The sequence below is a fragment of the Homo sapiens genome, chromosome 1, assembly GCF_000001405.40.
Source record: "Homo sapiens chromosome 1, GRCh38.p14 Primary Assembly".
Taxonomy (NCBI): Eukaryota; Metazoa; Chordata; class Mammalia; order Primates; family Hominidae; genus Homo; species Homo sapiens.
In genome coordinates, this window is record NC_000001.11 from 60,847,909 (window position 1) to 60,868,022 (window position 20,114).

The window sequence follows — 20,114 nt, forward strand, 5'->3', positions numbered from 1 at the left end:
GAGAGAGGATACATTAGGGGGAGAACTGCGTAAATAAAAAGGAGGCCATAGGTAGGATAATAAGGTGTGTGTGTGTCTTTGCACATATGAGTGTGGAGTGAGCAAGTTTTAATTTCTCATTATTTAAGAGATATAGAAGAATGACATCATCAAGATGGGGGAATAGGAAACCCCAGACCCCATTCCCCAACAGAAACATTAACTAAACAACAATACACAGACAAAAAGTTTTTATGAGAACCTAGAAATCAGTTAGGAAGTCACAATACCCCCAGGCAATCTCAAAGCCAAGAGCAGCTGCATTGAAATGGATAAGAAATTTATTTCATTAACTATGTCAGCCCCTCCCCCAAGCCAGCACATCTCTGGGAGGAAAAGCCCAACATACAGCTTCTTTTGTGACAGGTAGAGAAAAGAATGAAATGTATGTTCAAAGTTTCAGCTTTTGAGGGGCTGCCCAAGGAACTGGTTTCTGTCTCACCTGACTCGGAAGATTCATGGGAACTGACATACATTGGATGCCTGGGAGCCACAGAGAGCAAAAGAGAGTCAGCGGCTTGTGGCAGTGCCAGAGAACTTGTAATATCACAGATAGAAATTAGCAGGGCTTGTTGTAATCAAGAGTAAGCACCTAGCTGTGGCTTTTTCCCTGGGAAAAAACAGGAGGGTGGTATGTGTGTCTAGCATTCTGCCTTTTCAGGGGGCTTCCTGAGGGACGAGTTTTTGCCTCATCTGATTCAGAGTCCTAATGGGAAACCAACATACCTTGTTTGCTTAGGGCCAGAGGGACCAAAAAAAAAAAAAACCTAAAAACTCAGTTGCTTGTGGTTGCACCAGAAAACTTATAATACTACAGATAGACACCAGAGGGAGCAAGAGATTACAAGCTCTGAAAAAAACAACTTGCAAACCTCTCTAATTGGGAGAAACCAGAGAAAACACATCTCCAGAAAAGATGTGAGAGGCCCTCACAACCTCTAGCTGAAATAACTGGTGAAGTTATTTCCCTGTATGAAGTCAGTGAGTAAAGACTAGGAGAGATGGCTGTTTTTCAAATGCATGAATACCAATATAGTTACAAGACACATAAAGAAATATGGAAACATATCTCAATCAAAGGAACAAAATAAATCTCTAGTAACCAACCCTAAAGAAATAGAGTTATATGAAGTACCTGACAAAGAATTCAAAATAACCATCACAAAGATGTTAGAAAAATGGTAAATGAACAAAATGAGAATATCAACAAAGAGAAAAAATTTTAAATAAACAACAGCAATTTTGGAGCTTAAAAACACAAGAGCTGAATTGAAAATTTCACTAGAGGGGTTCAAAAATAAAAGTGATGAAGCAGAAAAAAAGAATCAACAAACTCGAAAACAGATCATTTCAGATTACCTAGTCAGAAGAACAAAAGGAAAAAGAAATGAAAATGAATGATGAAAGTCTAAGGGACTTATGGAACCCCATCAAGCAGACTAATTACACATTATGGCTATTCCAGAAGGAAATGAGGGAAAGAGAGAGAGAGAGATTGAGAATGGCATAAAGATTATTTGAAGACACAATGGCTGAAATTTTCCCAAATTTGGGGAAGGAAATGGACATACAGATAAAAGAAGCCTAAAGGATCCCAATTAAGATAAACTTGTAAAAGTCTACATTACAATCAAATTGCCAAAAGTCAAAGACAAAGAGAGAATTTTGAAAGTGGGAAGAGGAAAGCTACTCACCATATGAAAAGGATTCTACATAAGAATATCAATGGGTTTCTCAGCAGAAGCCTTGCAGGCCAGCAGGAAATAAGAGAATATATTCAAAGTGCTAAAAGTAAAAAAAAAAAAAAAAAGAATATGGCAAAACTGACATTCAAAAATGAAGCAGAAACACTGAATTTCCCAGATAAAAGCTGAAGGAGTTCCTCACCATTAGACTTCCAGGCAATGCTATAGAGTGTCCTTCAAGTTGAAAGAAAAGGATGCTAAAGAGCAACACAAAAACATGTGAAAGTATAAAGCTTGCTGGTAAAGGTAAATCTATAAACGAATACAGAATATTGTAATGGTGGTCCATAAATCACTTTTAATTATAGTATAAGAGTTAACACAAAGCGTGAAGGAGAAAGAAGTTAAAGAGTAAAGTTGTATGTGATTGCAGTTAAGTTGTTATCAGCTTAAAGTAGGTTGTTATAACTATAAGTGTTTTGTGTAAGCATCATGTTAACTACAAAGAAAATACACATAGAAGATACATAAAGGAAATTAAGAAATGATTCAAAACATGTCACTACCAAAATGACAACACAAAGAGAGAAAGAAAAAGAACAAAAAGCTACAAGACAGAAAACAATTAATAAAATGTCAATCTTAAGTCCTTCTCTATAAGTAATTGCTTTAAATGTAAATGGATTAAATTCCCGATCATAAGACATCAAGTGGCTGAATGGATTTTTAAAAATCAAGATCTCACTATATGCTGCCTATGGGAAACTCACTTTAGATTTAAAGACATATGCAGGCTGAAAGAAAAGGATAGAAGAAATATATTCCATGAAAATGGTAACCAAAATATAGCAGAGGTAGCTATATTTATAACAGAAAAAATAAGCTTTAAGTCAAAAACTGACACAGTAGACAAAAGAGGACATCATATAATTATAAAAAGGGGCCAATTCACCAGAAAGATAAATCAACTATAAATGTATATGCACCCAACATCAGAGCACCCAAAAACATGAAGCAAATATTAATAGAACTGAAGGAGAAACAGACAGCAATGCAATCATAGTAGAAGATTTGAATACCTCACTTTCAATTATGGCTAGAACATCCAGACCGAAAATCAATAAGAAAAGAGTAAACTTGAACAACCCTATAAATCAGATAGATCCAATAGACAGATAAAGAACATTCCACCCAATAGCAGCAGAATTCACATGCTTCTCAAGTTCACATGGACATTCTCCAGTATAGATCACATATTAGGCTACCAAACAAGTATTAACACATTTGAAAAGACTGAAATCATACCAATTTCCAACCACAATGGAATGAAAACTAGAGATCAATAACAGAAGGAAAACTGGGAAATTCACAAGTACATGAAGTTAATCATATACTTCTGGACAACCAAGGGACCAAAGAAGCAATTAAAAGGAAAACTAGAACATATCTTAAGACAAATAAAAACAAAACCACAACACACCAAAACTTATGCAAATAAGCAAAAGTCATACTAAGAAGAAAGTTTGTGGTGATAAATGCCTACATTAAAAAAGAAGAAAGATCTCAAATAAATAACCTAACTTTATATCTTAAGGAACTATAAGAACTATAAGGAACAATAAAAGCAAACTAAAACCAAAGATAGCAGAAATGAAGGAAAAAACAAAGATTATAACAGAAATAACAGAAATAGAGAATAGTAAACAACAGAAAGAAATCAATGAAACTGAGAGTTGGCTTTTTAAGAGATCAACAAAAATGACAAACCTTTAGCTATACTAAGAAAAAAAGAGGGAGACCTAAATAAAATCAAAAATGAAAGAGGAAATATTACAATTGATGCTACATCAATAACAATAATTGTAAGATATAACTAACAAAAATTATATGCCAACAAATTATATGCCTGGAAGAAATGGATATTCCTGAAACATTTAACCTACCAAGTTTGAATGCTGAAGAAATAAAAAGAACAAACCTAAACTAGTAAGAACAAACCTATAACTAGTAAGAAAATTGGATCGGTAATTAAAAACCTCAAAGTGGATGGGGTTAGGAAAAAATGGGGAGTTGCTGATCAATGGTCATAGAGTTTCAGTCATGCAAGATGAAAAAGTTCTAGAGATCTGCTGTACAACAATGTGTATATAGTTCACAATACTATGCTGTACACTTAAAAATGGTTAATAAGGTAGATTTTATGTTTTTCAACACAATAAAAAATAAATTTTTAAAGAGAGATATAAACAATAGCTACAATCTAAAAGCAGTTAGTCATCTATACTAATCTAGATCATCCATTCCAACGGTTTTTCAAACTTTAACTAACAGAGGAATAATTTTTCACTTAAAATTTTCCAGTAAACCCAATAACAAAACCATAAAAGTAGAACTGTGTGTGTTGAGTTGTGTTGGGTGGGAGGGAACCAGAGCTCCTCATTTTATAGACACAGAAACTGAGGCCCTGGGAGGAAAATGGATTCACCCCGAAGCACACAGTGAGTTAATGGCATGGCCCTGGCTACAATCCACATCTCCTGATTCCCAGCTCAGTGTTCTTTGCATTTTCATTAAAGTTCTTGTGCCTAATCTGGAAAACACCCAGATAACCATAAAAGGAAACAGATGAAGGTACCCACAAATGAGCTATGGAAGGAGAGGGAGTTTTTAAGCCTAATCACCAGCCAATAGATTTCCAGTTTCAATGGTTTTTTAATATCAAAGTTGTTTTCATTATTTATTAATGAACTTTTGTTAACATTGTTTATTATTTATTAACATTAATTAAACGAACATTTGAAATTGCACAGAAACAAAAAAGGAGAAAAAATTTATAATCCTACCAATTATATAAACAACTCTTAACACTGGAATATGTCTTCTGTCTCTTAAAGAACAGATTGTTGGGTTTTCACCAAATTGTGCTCATTCTGTATGTTCAATTTTGTCTCATGCTTTTTTCACAATATTATAGCATAAGCATTTTCCATTTGTAAATAACATTTTCTTTCATGACTACATAATATGCTCTGAAGTAGTCATGCCATGCAGAAGATTTTTTTCTAAATTTGTTCACCACTTCAAATAATACTAAAATGAACATATATCCGTGTATATAATGGTTGAACAATGTGTATGGTAGTATACTAGAGGTAGAATTGAGTTTAAGAATTTGAAGATTTTTGGCTGGGCGCAGTGGCTCACGCCTGTAATCCCAGCACTTTGGGAGGCTGAGATGGGTGGATCATGAGGTCAGGAGATTGAGACCATCCTGGCTAACACTGTGAAACCCCATATCTACTAAAATAATACAAAAAATTAGCCAGGTGTGGTGGCGCATGCCTGTAATCCCAGCTACTCGGGAGGCTGAGACAGCAGAATCACTTGAACCCGGGAGGCGGAGGTTGCAGGGAGCCAAGATCGCACCACTGTACTCCAGCCTGGGCGACAGAGCAAGACTTCGTCTCAAAAAAAAAGAATTTGAAGAATTTGAAGAGTTTTAAGTCTTTTGGTATGTAGCATCAAATCACATATATTTTATTTATGCATAATTACATAAACATCATTTAAAATTCTGGAAATAGAAATATAGATAAAATAATATTTGCCATTATTTCTTTGACCTAGAGGCAGATACCTATTGAATATCTTGGTATAGTTCTTCCCCATCTTTTTTGAAAATAAATACATATGCGCACACAATTACCAAATTGAAACTATTGTGTATGAGTGTGTAATAGTTTGATTTTTTATTACCATGTCTATAAATAATACTTAGAGACCAAACAGATTTTATTAATTACAACATATTATCCCAATCACACAGCCAAACATACTCCCATTTTTCCACCCCTAGTATAGCCACATCCACGTGCCCATACCCAAGTAACAGAGAGATTACATACAAGACCACTCCTAATAAGACAACTCTCAAGACACAATCTTGGTTGTAGTTCTCACTGGCTTTCTTCTGAGAAACTGACTCAAGAGTGAATATAGGCAGTTGCAATAGCATTTTTCTAACTGGAAACTTCTACAGAGCTCAACTCAGAATGATACGCCACTGTGCCAGCCACCAGGAACAGTTTTGGGCCCTGAAATATGAATCTCTGCTTTTCATCAGATGTTTCCAAAAGCAGAGTGGTTATGACAGAAACTTTGGCATTAGACTCTCCTGGGTTCCAGCCATGACTGTACCTCCTATTGTCTGTGCAACTTGAATTAACTTTACCCCTCTAAGCCTCAGTCTCTCCATCTATAAAAATGAATGACAGTAGCTGCTTCATAGGTTTGAAGTGATGATCAGATGAGACAATGCATGTAAAGTACTCAGCATTGTGTCATTGCAGGCACTTAATTTTAACTGTAATTATTATTTTGAGGAGTTCTGGCAGCAGCTTTCGACTCTCGCTCTCACAAATATGACTTTCTCTTTCCTCATTGATCTATTAACAGAAAATATTTTTTGACTGATAATTCCCAAAGCAGTCATTATGGCAATGAACACAGCAGTTCAAAATGTTATCATATTTATCTTATCACAAATGTTATTAATAGCTCAAAGCAGTTGAAATTGTCATTAACTATTTTTAATAAATAAGTATATTTCGGCACTTAATATTCCCAGGAGCTTTATATAACAATATTTTCCTCAATCTTCACAAGGCTGTGAAGTATTATTATTACCATTTTGCAAATGAGCAAACTGACATGGACACTTTAAGAAATTTGCTAAAGGTCACACCAGTAGAAGTTGAACAGCCAGGATTTGAGTCCAAGCCTGTTTTAATCCAAGCCCCAAGCCCCATCCACTGGGCCATGGATCAGCAAATCTTTTTCTGTAAAGGACCAGATAGTAAATATTTTAGGCTTTTCAGGCCTTATGGTCTCCATCATAACTACTCGACTCTACCATTATAGCACAAAAGCAGCTATAAATGATACAGAAATGAAGGACATGACTATGTCCAATAAACTTTATTATGGGCACTGAAATTTGAATGTTATATTATTTATATGTGTCACAATATATGACTCTTCTTTTCATTTTCTATCCAACCATTTAAAAAATGTAAAAATCATTCTTAGTTCATGAGCCATATAAAAAATAGTAGGTGGACTATAGATGCATCTTCAGGGAGAATACAATGATCAGGAAATGTGGGGATCTCTAGCCACACTGGACAGTTTTCAGGGGTGTGATGCTACTAGACTCTCCCTCAGGTCTTTTCTGTTATTCTTTTAGCTACAACACTCCTTCTACCCCTCCTCCCCAGCATCTGCCTTTATCTGCCATACGCCTTGTCATCCTTCAAACCAAAGTAGCTTCGCTGTTACTAGTTGCAGGAAATGCAACAAACCCCCCCTTACCGCCACCTCCATACTAAGCGAGGTACCCCTTTTCTGCTCTCTCTTAGCACCCTATATGTTCCCATCATAGGATCTATCACAAAGAATTGGGACAACTTGGGTACAAGACTGTCTGCTCCAAGGTCAAGTGCCATAAAGGTAAGCTTCTGTCTTGGTGATAAGTGTACCCACTTAGTCATTAGCACAGTGTATGGATTATAAGGGAAGTTGAATAAATATAGGAATGAAGAACAAGTGGGAGAAAGGAAAGTAGGGGAGAGACAAACGAAAGTTCTTAACTGTAAATACAAGCTCTGAACAGGATAAGGAGAGGTGGAGAGAGTAGGAGAGGAACCTACACCTGGCCATTAGGGAAAAGGTGGAAAATTGCCAAACATGGATGTGGAAACCCTTTTTCTACTTCTCATGAGGGGCAGTCCATGATCCCCTGTAAAAGGGTGTGTTCATTATGTTGGGACAATGAAGAATAAGGCAAAAACTAGTCTCCTAGACTTGTCCCACCGAGGACCAGAGAAGAGACACTAACTAGAGAATCTGAGTGCCCATGGATTCCTGAGTAATTTACATCATGTTCACTGCCAGTGAAATGCAGAGATGGCAGTGGCTCAAAAATTAAGATGGCTTCTTTTTAAAATGTTGTAACAAATAAAAGAATCCCACTGAGAACACAAAGAAAAAAGAAATTAAAGAGCCAGGAGGTGGAGGTATGAGGGGGTAGCGACTCTAAAAGCCTTCTTTCGGCTCCATATCAAACAGATTTGCTCTTTTTAGGAGATTATGGAAGCTTGGGTTTGTTCTCCAAAGAACTGCTTTGAAGCAAAGAGTTTAATCATCACACACCATTAATGTTTCAGATTTGGGGTTTCTCTTTTTTTCTTTTCTTGACTGGGTGCTCTAAGGGAGAGTTTCTTTGAGATGAAAACATGTGAAATAAGAAACACCAGCGGTTCACTCCACTGCTGCTTTGTGCTTCCTCTCCCGTCTCCCAAATCCTCTTCCTCACAGGTACAAGGCCTCAGAGAGATGCCAACACCTGCTTCTACCACGAGACTCTTTAAAGGCTCAAACAAATATTTGACGAGAGGTGTTCAGAGTCACACTCCAAATATCTATTTTATTCATTCACTGAACTCTTGCATCTGCCAAGAAAGGTGACAATCACTGGACAACTGAAGAAGAATCCAAGAAATGCCCAACATTGCCCTCATTGTCTTATCTTCCTTTCCCCATCCCCTGTTGTTTCTGAAGGAGAAGGGATACTCCTGGATCTACCAGGTTCAAATAGGGCACGAAGCCTACTCACTGTCATTGGAGAAAAGAGTTGAGCTATGGACCATAAATTCTAAGCCCAAATTTGCCACTAACTTTAAGTAGGCCATTTGATTTCTCTGGGTACAGGTGGATCCTGTGACAAACAATGGAGATTCCCTCCCACCTATTAGGAATATTAGTAGCTGACAGCTCTCAGCTGAAACTCCTTTGCATTTTTTCTTTGCTTGGAAAGAATTGTCCAGCCTGGAGTCTCTTCCTTTTCCCTGAAAATAGCTCTCATTCAATTGCTGGTGATCCATTATAGGAGTACAGTATCCTCATCCCCTTGCCCTAATTTGGGACAGTTCTGCAATGCCATCCCAGTTTCCACATTTCCTGTAGGATTAGCTAGAACTTCGTCTAGCCATCTCCTCCCTCTGCCCAATTTTCCTTCCTTTACTTACCTGCAGGTGTTGATCCTGATGGTCATCCCAATAAAGTTCTTGCACACAGGTCTTCACAATTCTCATACAAGTCTCAAAGTCTGCTTTCAGAGAACCTACCTGGGACCCTGACCCATAGCTTCCCCATCTATGTAATAAGAGGACTCTACCAGATGACCTCCATTTCTGTCTGTAAACATAAGTGAAGTACAATGATCCAACTGCCAGGTCTATAACACAATCAGCAGAAGCAGCAGCAGCAGGGACTCACATGCATCTGAATGCAATTGAATTACCTGATTCAGAACACGTCTTTCAAACACTGTGAAACAATCAGTGAAGTGGCAGAGACACCAAAAATTGGGGTCTCTAGGTTGGAACCCTATCTCTGTCACTAACTTGCTCAGTGACCCCAGGTAATTCTCTCTGCTGGGCTTCATTTTCTTAAATACAAAATAAGAGGCTTTATCATATTTCTCCCCCTCTCTTCATTTTAGATGAATTTATGTGACTTCTGCTTTGAAAAGAAAAAAAGTTCATTTTTGGAAAAATCATTTTGTCATTCACCATGAACCAAAAGCTCACATTAAGCATCTTATTATTCATGACTCTGCACAGCACCCTCTTCAGTCCTTGCCCTTAGGGAATGTGTGGTCTAAGGCTGGTTGACCTCTACTGGGAGTCACGAATGAGGCATACTCTCTAGATCAATGTGCCACTCATCCACAAAGGAGAAACCTGCTATAATTTACAAGGTTATCACATATTCAAAGAATAACTAAAAGGAAATAGAAACTAACACACATTGAGCACTGCCTAAGTGCCTATCACAGACTTTTGTCCTCTTATGTGGATTATAGTTCATTTACTTCTGACAACAGTCCCTGAAAGTCTGCCATCACCATCCCATTTCAGATGAAGCTTGCGGAGAGGGTGTGACAACCTGGAGTCAAGCAGCGAGCATGTGGAAGAACCAAGGCTAGAACCCCGGCGTGGTTCTGCCACACCGTAATGTACTTGCCTGCTCCTCTGTCTCCTCAGTGAGAGTTGGGAGCTCCTTGAGGGCAGCCCCTATTGCTTTCTTCTTCATATCCTGAACACCTAGCATGATGGCAAGTACCTGTTACTAAATACAAGTTTATAACATTACTTAATTAAGGTCTCTTGACTTCTCCTATTGCTATTTCTATCACACTATCATGCAATCGGCCTTGCTACTTCGCCTCCAAATTTTTCTAAAAATTATTCATCTTGAGACAGGCAGAAGATCAATCTCAAATAACAAACATGCAGCTTATTATGGTCTCCCAACTTACATGGTGATATGAGTCATTTGGCCCCCTTGGGATTTAATAGCTGGCTGACAAGCCTCAGCACTGTCAATGTGCTTGAGATTGGCTCACTTGGGCCAGCTGGGCAAGGGTTTCCATTGATTATTCCTAAAAACCCATTATGCTTTTGAAAGCCATTTCATTTTAAGATGGTTTAAATACATCCTTATCATTTTTAAGCATGCCCACAAAAAGCATCCTAAAGATATTTGATCATTCAATTACACTAAATGAGGCCAATGTATATGCTGCTGCCTCAGAGGTTATCATGCTTAATAAAACGTACTTTATAAACCCCATGAAGGCTGTAATTAAATTTACAAACAGCCTTCCCCACAACTTTAACAAAAGATATCTGAATGGTGTGTGTGTGTGTGTGTGTGTGTGTGTGTGTGTGTGTGTGTGTGCATGTGTGTGTGTGTGTGTGTGTGTTTTAAAGTGTCCTGTTCCATAAGGATTATAGCTCCCCTGCTGTTTGGAAAAGACAATTTCACTTGTAACACTAATAACTTGAGCAGGGGAGAAGCTGGCCTGGTGAATGGAATGCACTTCACTGCACATCTTGGCTCAGCTAGAAATCGGAAACAGATGGTCCTTGCGGCTGGTTTCCCACTCGAGCCCGCTCACTGCCAGCCTGTGGTCTTCTGTGGGCTGCTGCTGGCAGTCTGTGACTTGAACATAGTAGGACAGTGGCAAAAGAAATCAAATCTTTTCCAATGAGCAGCAAGTTGTAATGAAATTTGACAGATCTGACATTCTATACCCAACATCTAGTTAGAATATATTAACCTTTAGTTTTCTTAAGCGCCTTGCATAGAAGTTGTGAATATACTTATTAGAGGGTTATGTTGTATGTGTTTTTTTTTTTCCTTTTTTTTCTTTTTTAACAGGGGGCAGAGGGTTTAGTCCAATCTTGGGTGGCAGCCGGTTAACAGAAAATGCAGAGAAAGTAAAAGTCAAAGAATTTCTAAATGGAAATGAGGCACAAGATCTGCCGCCAAGAAGAAAACTGATTCTTTGCAGGACATTGTGGGTGAGTTTCTGCCAAAAATAAATTATCAATATTTTCCTTGCACAATACAGATAGATTGATTGAGCAATAAATATATATCCATATCTACATATATGTATATATACCAGATCAAAAATCTGAGCAATCTCTGGGCAAATTAATAAAATAGATGGGGCTGTCTGGACCCTCTGGCATTTTCTTCAATTCTGCCCTTTTCAGCTTTGCAGCATTCACTTCTGCCATACGGTGAGAAAAGCATGCCAGGTGACCTGGAATGCTGGTTTCTTTAAGTCACCACACTCACACCCAGTAATGACATGTACCTGTGCAGAGGATTTTGCTGCCTTCATCAAAAAAGGATAAATCTCCCACCAGAGACCTTCACACTTTAGAGCTTTAGAGGAACTAGACTTTCTATCCTTTTGTGTTGATTCTTCTTTTTATCCCAATACTTAACGTGTGAATACATCCTGACTCGAAGGTTTAGATGGTGATGGCCTGAACACCATCTTAGGATTTTCCACCTGATTAAGGTTAGAGGAAAGATCTAGGTGTTAATAGTAGTTAATGCCTCTTAATACAGCTTTTATTTTCTGTTCTATTTTTTTCTTTCTTTTTAATCTTGGATACCCATTGCTCTAAACTGAACATTTCTGCAGCTTCAGCAACAGGGTACATTTCTAATTTCATGTTTTCCATGAGCCTGGTGATTCAAGGCCATACATATCTGTTAAGCTCAACATTCAACTCTACATAAGAAATAAAAAATATCCAAGGCAGGAAGATCACTTGAGACCAGGGGTTCAAGACCAGCCTGGGTAACAAAGCAAGCCCCCGTCTCTCTAAAAAAAAAAATCAATTAGCCAGGTGTGGTGGTGCACAACTGTGGTCCCAGCTACTTGGGAGGCTGAGGTAGGAACATCAGTCAAGCCCAGGAGTTCGAGGCCACTGTACTCCAGCCTGGGTGACAGATAAATCTTATCTCCAAAAAAATGAATAAAAAATAAAAATTGTCTTCTGAGAACAAGCTGGTTGGAATAGCAAAAGCATAGGCTTTTCATTATATGGACATAGGGTTGAATCTTGGCTCTTGTTCTTTAGCATGTGTCTTTAGCCAAGACTCTTACCTTTTTGACCCTGATCTGCAAGTTAAAAATCGTAATAACAACCTCCTATGGTTGTTGTGAAGGTTAAACAACATATCATACCCAAAAGTGTGTTTAAAAACTGTATGACATGTAACAGGTGCTAAATCCTGTTACTTCTCTCCTTTTTTGGTTCAGGAGGCAACACCAGAGTGGTGAAGCTCTGAAGTCATCATTCCAAGGCTTGAATCCTCCTTCCATCACTAACTCTGGAGCCCTAAGCAAGTCACTTTACCTCTTGGAGTCTGTTATCCTGTTTGTAAAATGGAGTTAATAATAGGTTCTACCTCATAAGGACTCACATGGAAAAACACACACACACACACACACACACACACACACACACACACACAAAGATCTTAGAACAGTGCCTGGCCAAGAGGAAACACTCAGTATACGTGAGCTGTTACATACGAAATCAAATTGCTCTTCCCCTAGACTTTCAAATTTCCAATGGTCCTAGAAACAGAGCTTGAAAAGAAAGAGAAAATAAGTTTTAGTGCCTGAATCACATATGTTGCTATTAAATGGGTGAATAAATGAAAGAAAGACACATTTTCATCAAAGACAAATAATAATACAGTCAGTTGATGCAAAGTAGTACTAATGGATGGTGCATATAAGGAAGGCAGCAGGGCACCAAACGTGTTAGGGGTCACTGTGAGCTGGCGTCCTGAGGAGGGTGTTACCTTGGAAAGGGAGATCATGTCCCAGGAGGGCAATAGCTTGAGCCAAGGTAAAAGACAAGGCTGTGTAAATAGAAGGATGCAAATTTCAAAGTGGCTAATGTCCTGTGCCTTTTTATTCTCATTCTCCAACCACGTAGGGAGCCCCTACTCTGCCCAGCACTGTGCTTGGCCTTACAGCTACTCAGATGAGCAAGATACAGTCCCTGCCCTTAAGAATCTCAAGGTCCTTTGGGAGGCTGAGACGAGCAGATCACGAGGTCAGGAGATCGAGACCGTCCTGGCTAACACGGTGAAACCCTGTCTCTACTAAAAATAAAAATAAAATAAAATAAAATAAATTAGCCGGGCATGGTGGCAGGCTCCTGTAGTCCCAGCTACTCAGGAGATTAAGGCAGGAAAATGGCATGAACCCAGGAGGCGAAGCTTGCAGTGAGCCGAGATTGGGGCACTGCACTCCAGCCTGGGCGACAGAGCAAGACTCTGTCTCAAAAAAAAAAAAAAGATCTCAAGGTCTAGGAGGGAAAACAGACTAGCAGGCAGATGATTCCAGAAGAGGGTGCTAATAGCTGCAGTGGAGCAAGGCACAGGTTATTATGGAAGAACAGAGGGAAGGGATCCAACTGACCCTCACAGCACAGGAGCAGAAGGGGGAAGAAAGAGGGCTTCCCTCAACAGGGGAATAATAGTAACAAGACATCAATAACAGCACAATAACTTCAGTTGAGAACTCATTACATATCAGGGACTATGTACCCTATGCATTTCTTTGCTTCTAACTACACTACACACACACATGCACACACACAAGCGCACATTTAACTATTATTATCTTCATTTTCCTGATTATGATAGGACACAGAATCAGAGTGGTTAAGTAACCTGGGAGAGGTCACACAGTAACCAAGAGAGCCTGGATATGGACAACTAGATTGCAGAAGCAGTGCTCTCAATCTCTCTACGACCCAGCCTCTGAAAATCATGAATATTTCAAATCATATCTCCTTTTAGCAATATATAACAGAAACCAAAACCTCTCCTTGGCGTTGCTATTGTACACGTGTTGACAGCAGAGTCTTCGAGGCCTTTATCGGAATGCACTGCAGCAATGACACAGATGGAAATTCACCATCCTCTGAGTTTTCTTGGGTTCTTCCCATTCAGCAAAAGGGGATAGCTTATTTAGGGGAGCACTGGCCATGATGACCTGAATGAGGCTGGAAAGTGACTTGCACTTTGCCTGAGGCTGCATGTTATAAGGAGACAATTCCCTTTCTAATGCTTCCCCATTGTTACTCAGGAAATAGTCCTCATCACCTGACTCCCTATCTAGGGGGATTCCCACTTCTTATAAAATATACCGAAAGGAAATAAGAAAGGCCAAATTTTGATGGGCTTATTTATTGATGAGAGCGCTGTTTTTGCCTTGGATTCATTCATGCGCAGTGGGAAGAAGTATTCAAATGACAAGAGTTAAATTCAAAACATGTAGCCGCTTTCTGTTACATTTTTTTTCTAACTGAAGGCAAACCATTTAGATGTTTGTTTCCAAAAAGGCATCTGTCAGCAATCAAAGGGGAAAAATGCATAAAGCAAATGCAATTGTTTGGAGTAGCATTTCCTGGATCATGTTAAATGCTTGAATTGCTCCCCATTATGCTCACCAAATAATTTTATTTCCCACAATAATTGCAATATTTAACATGTTTTATTTAATCTTTTTTAAAGGCTATTAACAAAGGGCCACACTGTGAAAAGATTGATTGCTGCATGGGAAGGACAGCTTCCACCAGCCTCTTAGAGAACAATGATAAAGTTAAATGCACCTAATTGTTCTGGATTTAAAATACTATTATCCAATAATATTTATCATTTTTTTGTTCAAACTATGTGCCCTCTCCTGCAAAATCTTCCCGGCTATTCTATCATTCACAGAGTGAAATCTGGACTCCAGTTTACCTTGTGCTCCATTCATTCATAAATAATGGGCATGCATAGGGTGTTCTGAGTCTCAAAAATGCAGCGACTCAGACAAGAAACAGCTCCAACTTCAGAGGTTGCTGCAGGATAAACTCAGAAACTGTAAAGCTGTGGACCCACAAGTCCAAGATGTCCATGTGCCTGTATACCCTGGGAGAAAGCAGAGGAGACCCTAAAACAGGGAAATTTTGTTTTGTCTGCTTGTCAGAGGCAAGTAGGAATGGATGAAGTAGAATCAGAGGTTGGTTGATTCAAAGACAGAATGCTACTTCATTTCTTTTCTTCTTCTTTTTTTTTTTCCTCCTTTTTTTGTTTGGTTGATGATATTTTACATTTTATGTAGAATTTCCAACTTTTTTCCTTATCTTTCTCTAAATGATAAACTTAAGAAAGACTAAGTAATTTTAATGATGCTGCAGTTACATATGGCAATAAATGTTTTCATTGGCAAGCTCAGGGCAAGTTTCTGGTAGTATGTCCATTGTATTCATTGGACACAAGCTAACAACATTTCCTGTGCTACTGCAGACTCTTCTTCTGAAAAGACAGGTGACACCAAGGTAATAAAGTATACAAAGATACTTCCTAAGAGTGATGACAATATTTACATTTGATAATAATTCTGGCTATCGCCTCTCACCCCAATTTTATTAGAAGAAATCCCATTACAATAAGGAATGAAAAAGAAAAAAAATGCCATATTTGTTGTATTTGTAGTTCATTCCTAGAAGCAGTCTGTGCATCATGCTTTAAGTTAGAAATATTTTTGGTGCAACACGATAAAATTTGCTTTAATACAGTTATTTTTGTCAAAACAGCATGCTAAATGGTTAAAATAATACCTACTAAGGAAGAGATCAGAAATAGGAAAGAAAAATGCACCAAATTTACCTCTTTGGAACTTAAAATATGCTCTGAATGAGTTTATCTAAATATTATTCAGTCCAAAATATGACCAGAACCAAAAATCCACTGGATAATTAGGCAGTAAATGCACAACTTTTTAAATAATCACAGTTCAACAGCCCTGAGAAATAGTGATGGACAATTCTCCCATATTCTGGAGTACATATATTGAAGGCCCATAGCGGAGAAAACTGTAGGTTCTTGGAGATCAAAGGATCGCTTATATTCAGAAAAAATTAGGATGTGTTTGGTGCACATCCACGAAAATTAGGACGTGTTTGGTACCCTGATAAAGGTATTTCTACAGTTCCTAGTGTCACACAATTTGAAAGAATATAACGAATACAAGTCATTCTCTCTGCTTCTTTCTCCCTCTTAGTCCTAAGTAACATTACTTGAAATGCAGCAACTGTCTGGACTTTTTCTCACTTTAAAAAAAATTATTTTTACAACCATTCTTATTGGTAGGTCCATATTGTGGTTTACTTTTCCATACTAAAGAGAGGATGTGTGGTTAAAAACCCCTGTGAAGAAGATGGCTAGGTTATAGTAAGGAAATCAGAAGTGACTTTCTCTGATTAAGGAAGAGCTCATGTCAAGTTTAGCCTGAATTGTGCTAAACCGAATTGATAATGACTGATTGCTTTGTTTACAAAGAATGGAAAAGTCCAAAATTAATGTATTTAAAAAGACACCAAAAAACATCGGTGGTGCCTAGCCCAGCATAGGTTAGAACTTGTAAAATATCAGTAATGTATTTATTTACTCACATAAATCATACATCTAAACACAATGCCAGCCAAACCAAAAATCAAGAGACTTGAATGCTGCCATCTCTTGTTTATCTTCCTTCATGACTAAATTAACTAATGAGTTAATTTTCAAAAAATAAAGTAAGGAAAGAGAAATATTTTTTCCTGGAAATTTTTTTTTTAACTCCTTGGAAAACCTGTTCAGTTGTTCCCAGATTTAGTTTGAGACTTTTCCAACAGAGATGTGTAAGACAGCAAAACTGAACTAAACATTTTTGTAAATGCACGGCTCACGTTCTTGAGAAAAGTGGCTGTGAAAAACAGATACTGAATCAGACTTAAAGTCAAAGAAGGGGGGGTGAATAGGGGGGAAAAAGCCCAAAACATTGCATGATAGTCTCTAAGCAGTTCCATCTGTCAAGCAGAAATTTTAGGCTAATAGCCTGTGGCGATCTCCCTCCGCAGTCCACTACCTGCCTTTGTCCTATTAAATCTCTTTATTCTCCTTAAAAAAAAAAAAAAAAAAAAGAGGGGGGGATTGGTTATTGGAAGGAAAGGAAAAACCCCGCAGACCAAAATCATCTGAGTGATGAAGCCCTAATTTTAACTACCTCCCTTTGATGTGTAGCAGTGGGCTCTTGTTTTTTTAAAAAGGAGAGAGGAGAAGACAGTGCTAGGAGCAGAAGACTTTTCATCTCCACTTCACCTTGCCACTGGGTCTGTGAGAGATTGGTTCATTGTCAAGGAGATTTTTTTTTTTACCCATGATTCCATATGGTATGGACCGGACTACATGTTGCCCCACATGCCACTGCAAATGTTTTCTCAATTAGGTGTCTTATCTCCCGTGAGTTAGCATCAGATGAAGCTTGCTGACAGCGTAATGGCAGGGAAAGCTTCCGACGGCTCCATCAAATGGCAGCTCTGCTACGACATCTCGGCCAGAACTTGGTGGATGGTGAGTTGGCAGCCGGGGCTGCTTTTTTTTTTTTTTTTTTTTTCCTTTTCTACTTTCCCTCCCTCTTTGACAAAATGTCCCAGACCTCACATTCATCAAACTCACATTTGATTTTTTTCACACTATTCAGTGAGGCAGCCTCACACTGCTGCCTCTTGCCATCCTCTCTCTGCCACTCTGCGACTTGAGTTCCCAGGAATGCTTGCCCTCATTTTCCATGGGACAGTATTTGGGGTTTTCTATTTTTTTTTAATTCTTTTTTAAAGAGTATCAGTTGTAAGGTGGAGGTGGATATTTTAGCCAAGTCAGTATTGGGGGAAAAAGTGAAACATTCGTCCCAGCCCTCAGGTTTTGCCCCCTCTCTCCAGTTTCACATCCCCCTTACTTTTGTTTTCAGGGACTATGGGGTGTATGGTTTTCTCTGGCTGTGGCATTTTCTGAGGACGCGTGTTGGGCACTAGGGAGAAGCAACCTCTGAGTGAATTCTAGTCCTGGCCAATTAACTGGATTGCCTAAAGTCACCTGTGAGAGAACTCTGGGTCCCCACTCCCTATTTTCCATCAGGGTCCCACAGCTCTCATCTAACTTTTCTCCGTTTATGTCAGAGCAGGTTTTCTGTCTCTTAGGCACTCTAGCTCTGAGTGGAAAAGACCCACACACTCTATCTTTTAGTTACTCTGGATATAAATAAAGTTTGAATAAAGTTCTGCCATGCAGCAGCAGAATGAGTTAACTCACATGTCATGGTCAACCAGGACAGACAACCTTTGACATTTTGGATCTATAAGAGGTAGAGTGAGTTGTGAGGATGCACAATAGCTCATTGTCACAGGAGATGCAAGTCCCGTGAGGAAGAGAGTCCTCAAATCATTACTGCCCTCGTTAGGGTGGTGTCCGTTAAGGATTAATTTGTTAGCAGTGCATTTCTAGTTTTCCGTAATTATTATTCTTGCGGCAAGCGTGAATTCTTCCAGGGAGTGAAAAAAAAGTTTGCTGCCAGGACAATGAATGTATTATCCGTTCCTAACTGGACCGTGAACTTCAGCTCATTTCACATAGATATCAGTTTAAGAAAAAAACAGAGAGAGAGAGAGAGAGAGAGAGATGTTGAAGGGGGAGACTGGCGAATGGAATTACAAAACAGGGCATGGTCGGTTTCACTGTATGATCTGCAGAAAGAGTTCTCTTTTCCCCTTCCTGGACCAATGGTGGTATCATTTTGGCAAGTTTTAGGAATTCGGAGGACTGAGAGACTGTTAAAAGTGAGCTACCGCAGGATTCTATCCGGCTGCTTCTTGGGATGCAGTATGTCCATCCTAAGGACTGTTGAGTTAAAGTGGTTGTGGGTATGTGTGTACATGTGTGTTTTAACTTGTAATTTCTTAACTAGACATTAGAAACTTTACCAGTAATTTCAGGACAATGTTGCATGCAGCTTTTGGCTAATTAGACTAACAGTAGACTATCCACTTTGACCCTGAACTTTTGTTCAGGGCACTTATTTTCCCATTAGAGTTCTTGCCAGCAAGAACAAGGTTTACTTGTGTATGCTATGATGTTACCTATTGCTTCACTTTATACAGCTTGTTAAACATTAGAAATGAATATACTGATTGGTTTAGCAATGATTTTCTAAGTTGTAAGCTTTTTTTGAAAAAACTGCACGCTGATGTCATATTCTGGGTGAAACATTTTACTTCCTTGTATTTCAACAGCTCATAGATTTTATAGACTGTTACTTTTTATGGCAAATTGTGTCATCTCTCTCTTTTTTTTTTCTTGCAAAGATCACCAAATGCTTCTCTTTTTTTAACTTGGAAAACTGTAATTTCTTTTTTGTAAAGTTTACTTGGAAGTTGCTTTTCATTTAAAATTATTTTACAGATGTTTTACCGCCGGGAATATAACATATAAAAGTGGTGGAAACATTTAGCAATGCAGTTGCCTAAAAATAAACAATGTTGAAAGCTCACATGCTGCTGTTTAGGCTGCACACTACAGGGAAGTTTCTCTCAACTTCAGTGCTTCTAGATCTTTGCTTTGAAAAGGAGTGAGAAATCAGAGCGCTCTCTAAAGAAGTTATACAAGTTATCATAGGGAATAAATCAATTTGTTTCTTTCCCTCAAAGGTGACCACATACCATGGCATTTCAGATCTGTCAGTTACCAATAATTCTAATGTAAATTTCCCATTATTGATGGGAAATTGAGGACTTTGATGAAGGAGGAGGGAACTAATTAAAATAATACAAATTTCACATTTTCTCTTAGATCTCTTTCCTTGAATAACATGCTCTCCCTCTCCCTCCATTCACCCACCTCGCTATCCCAAACAATTTCCCCAGCTGAAAGAAAAATTTAAACTTCCCTCTGGCTGATATAGTTATTTAATCAAAGGACAGTACAAGATCGGAGTTTCACACTAAAGGCAAATAAAGCTTTAAAATTACCTCATGCGTCATCTGGCTGCACAGACTCCGGGCTCATAGTGGGAACCTCCGGCTTGGTCCTCCCAGCATACAAAGGCAACTCAGTGAATGCCCCCTCCGCCCGTGG

General features: G+C 38.6%; 1 annotated feature.

Annotated features, from left to right (window-relative positions):
* Positions 1,225-2,055: an enhancer, noted in NCBI's record as "OCT4-NANOG hESC enhancer chr1:61314805-61315635 (GRCh37/hg19 assembly coordinates)". NCBI's record gives its function as "activates a minimal SCP1, AML or CMV promoter by ChIP-STARR-seq in naive and primed H9 embryonic stem cells {active_cell/tissue: H9 hESC(naive and primed)}" and the evidence as "EXISTENCE:reporter gene assay evidence [ECO:0000049][PMID:30033119]".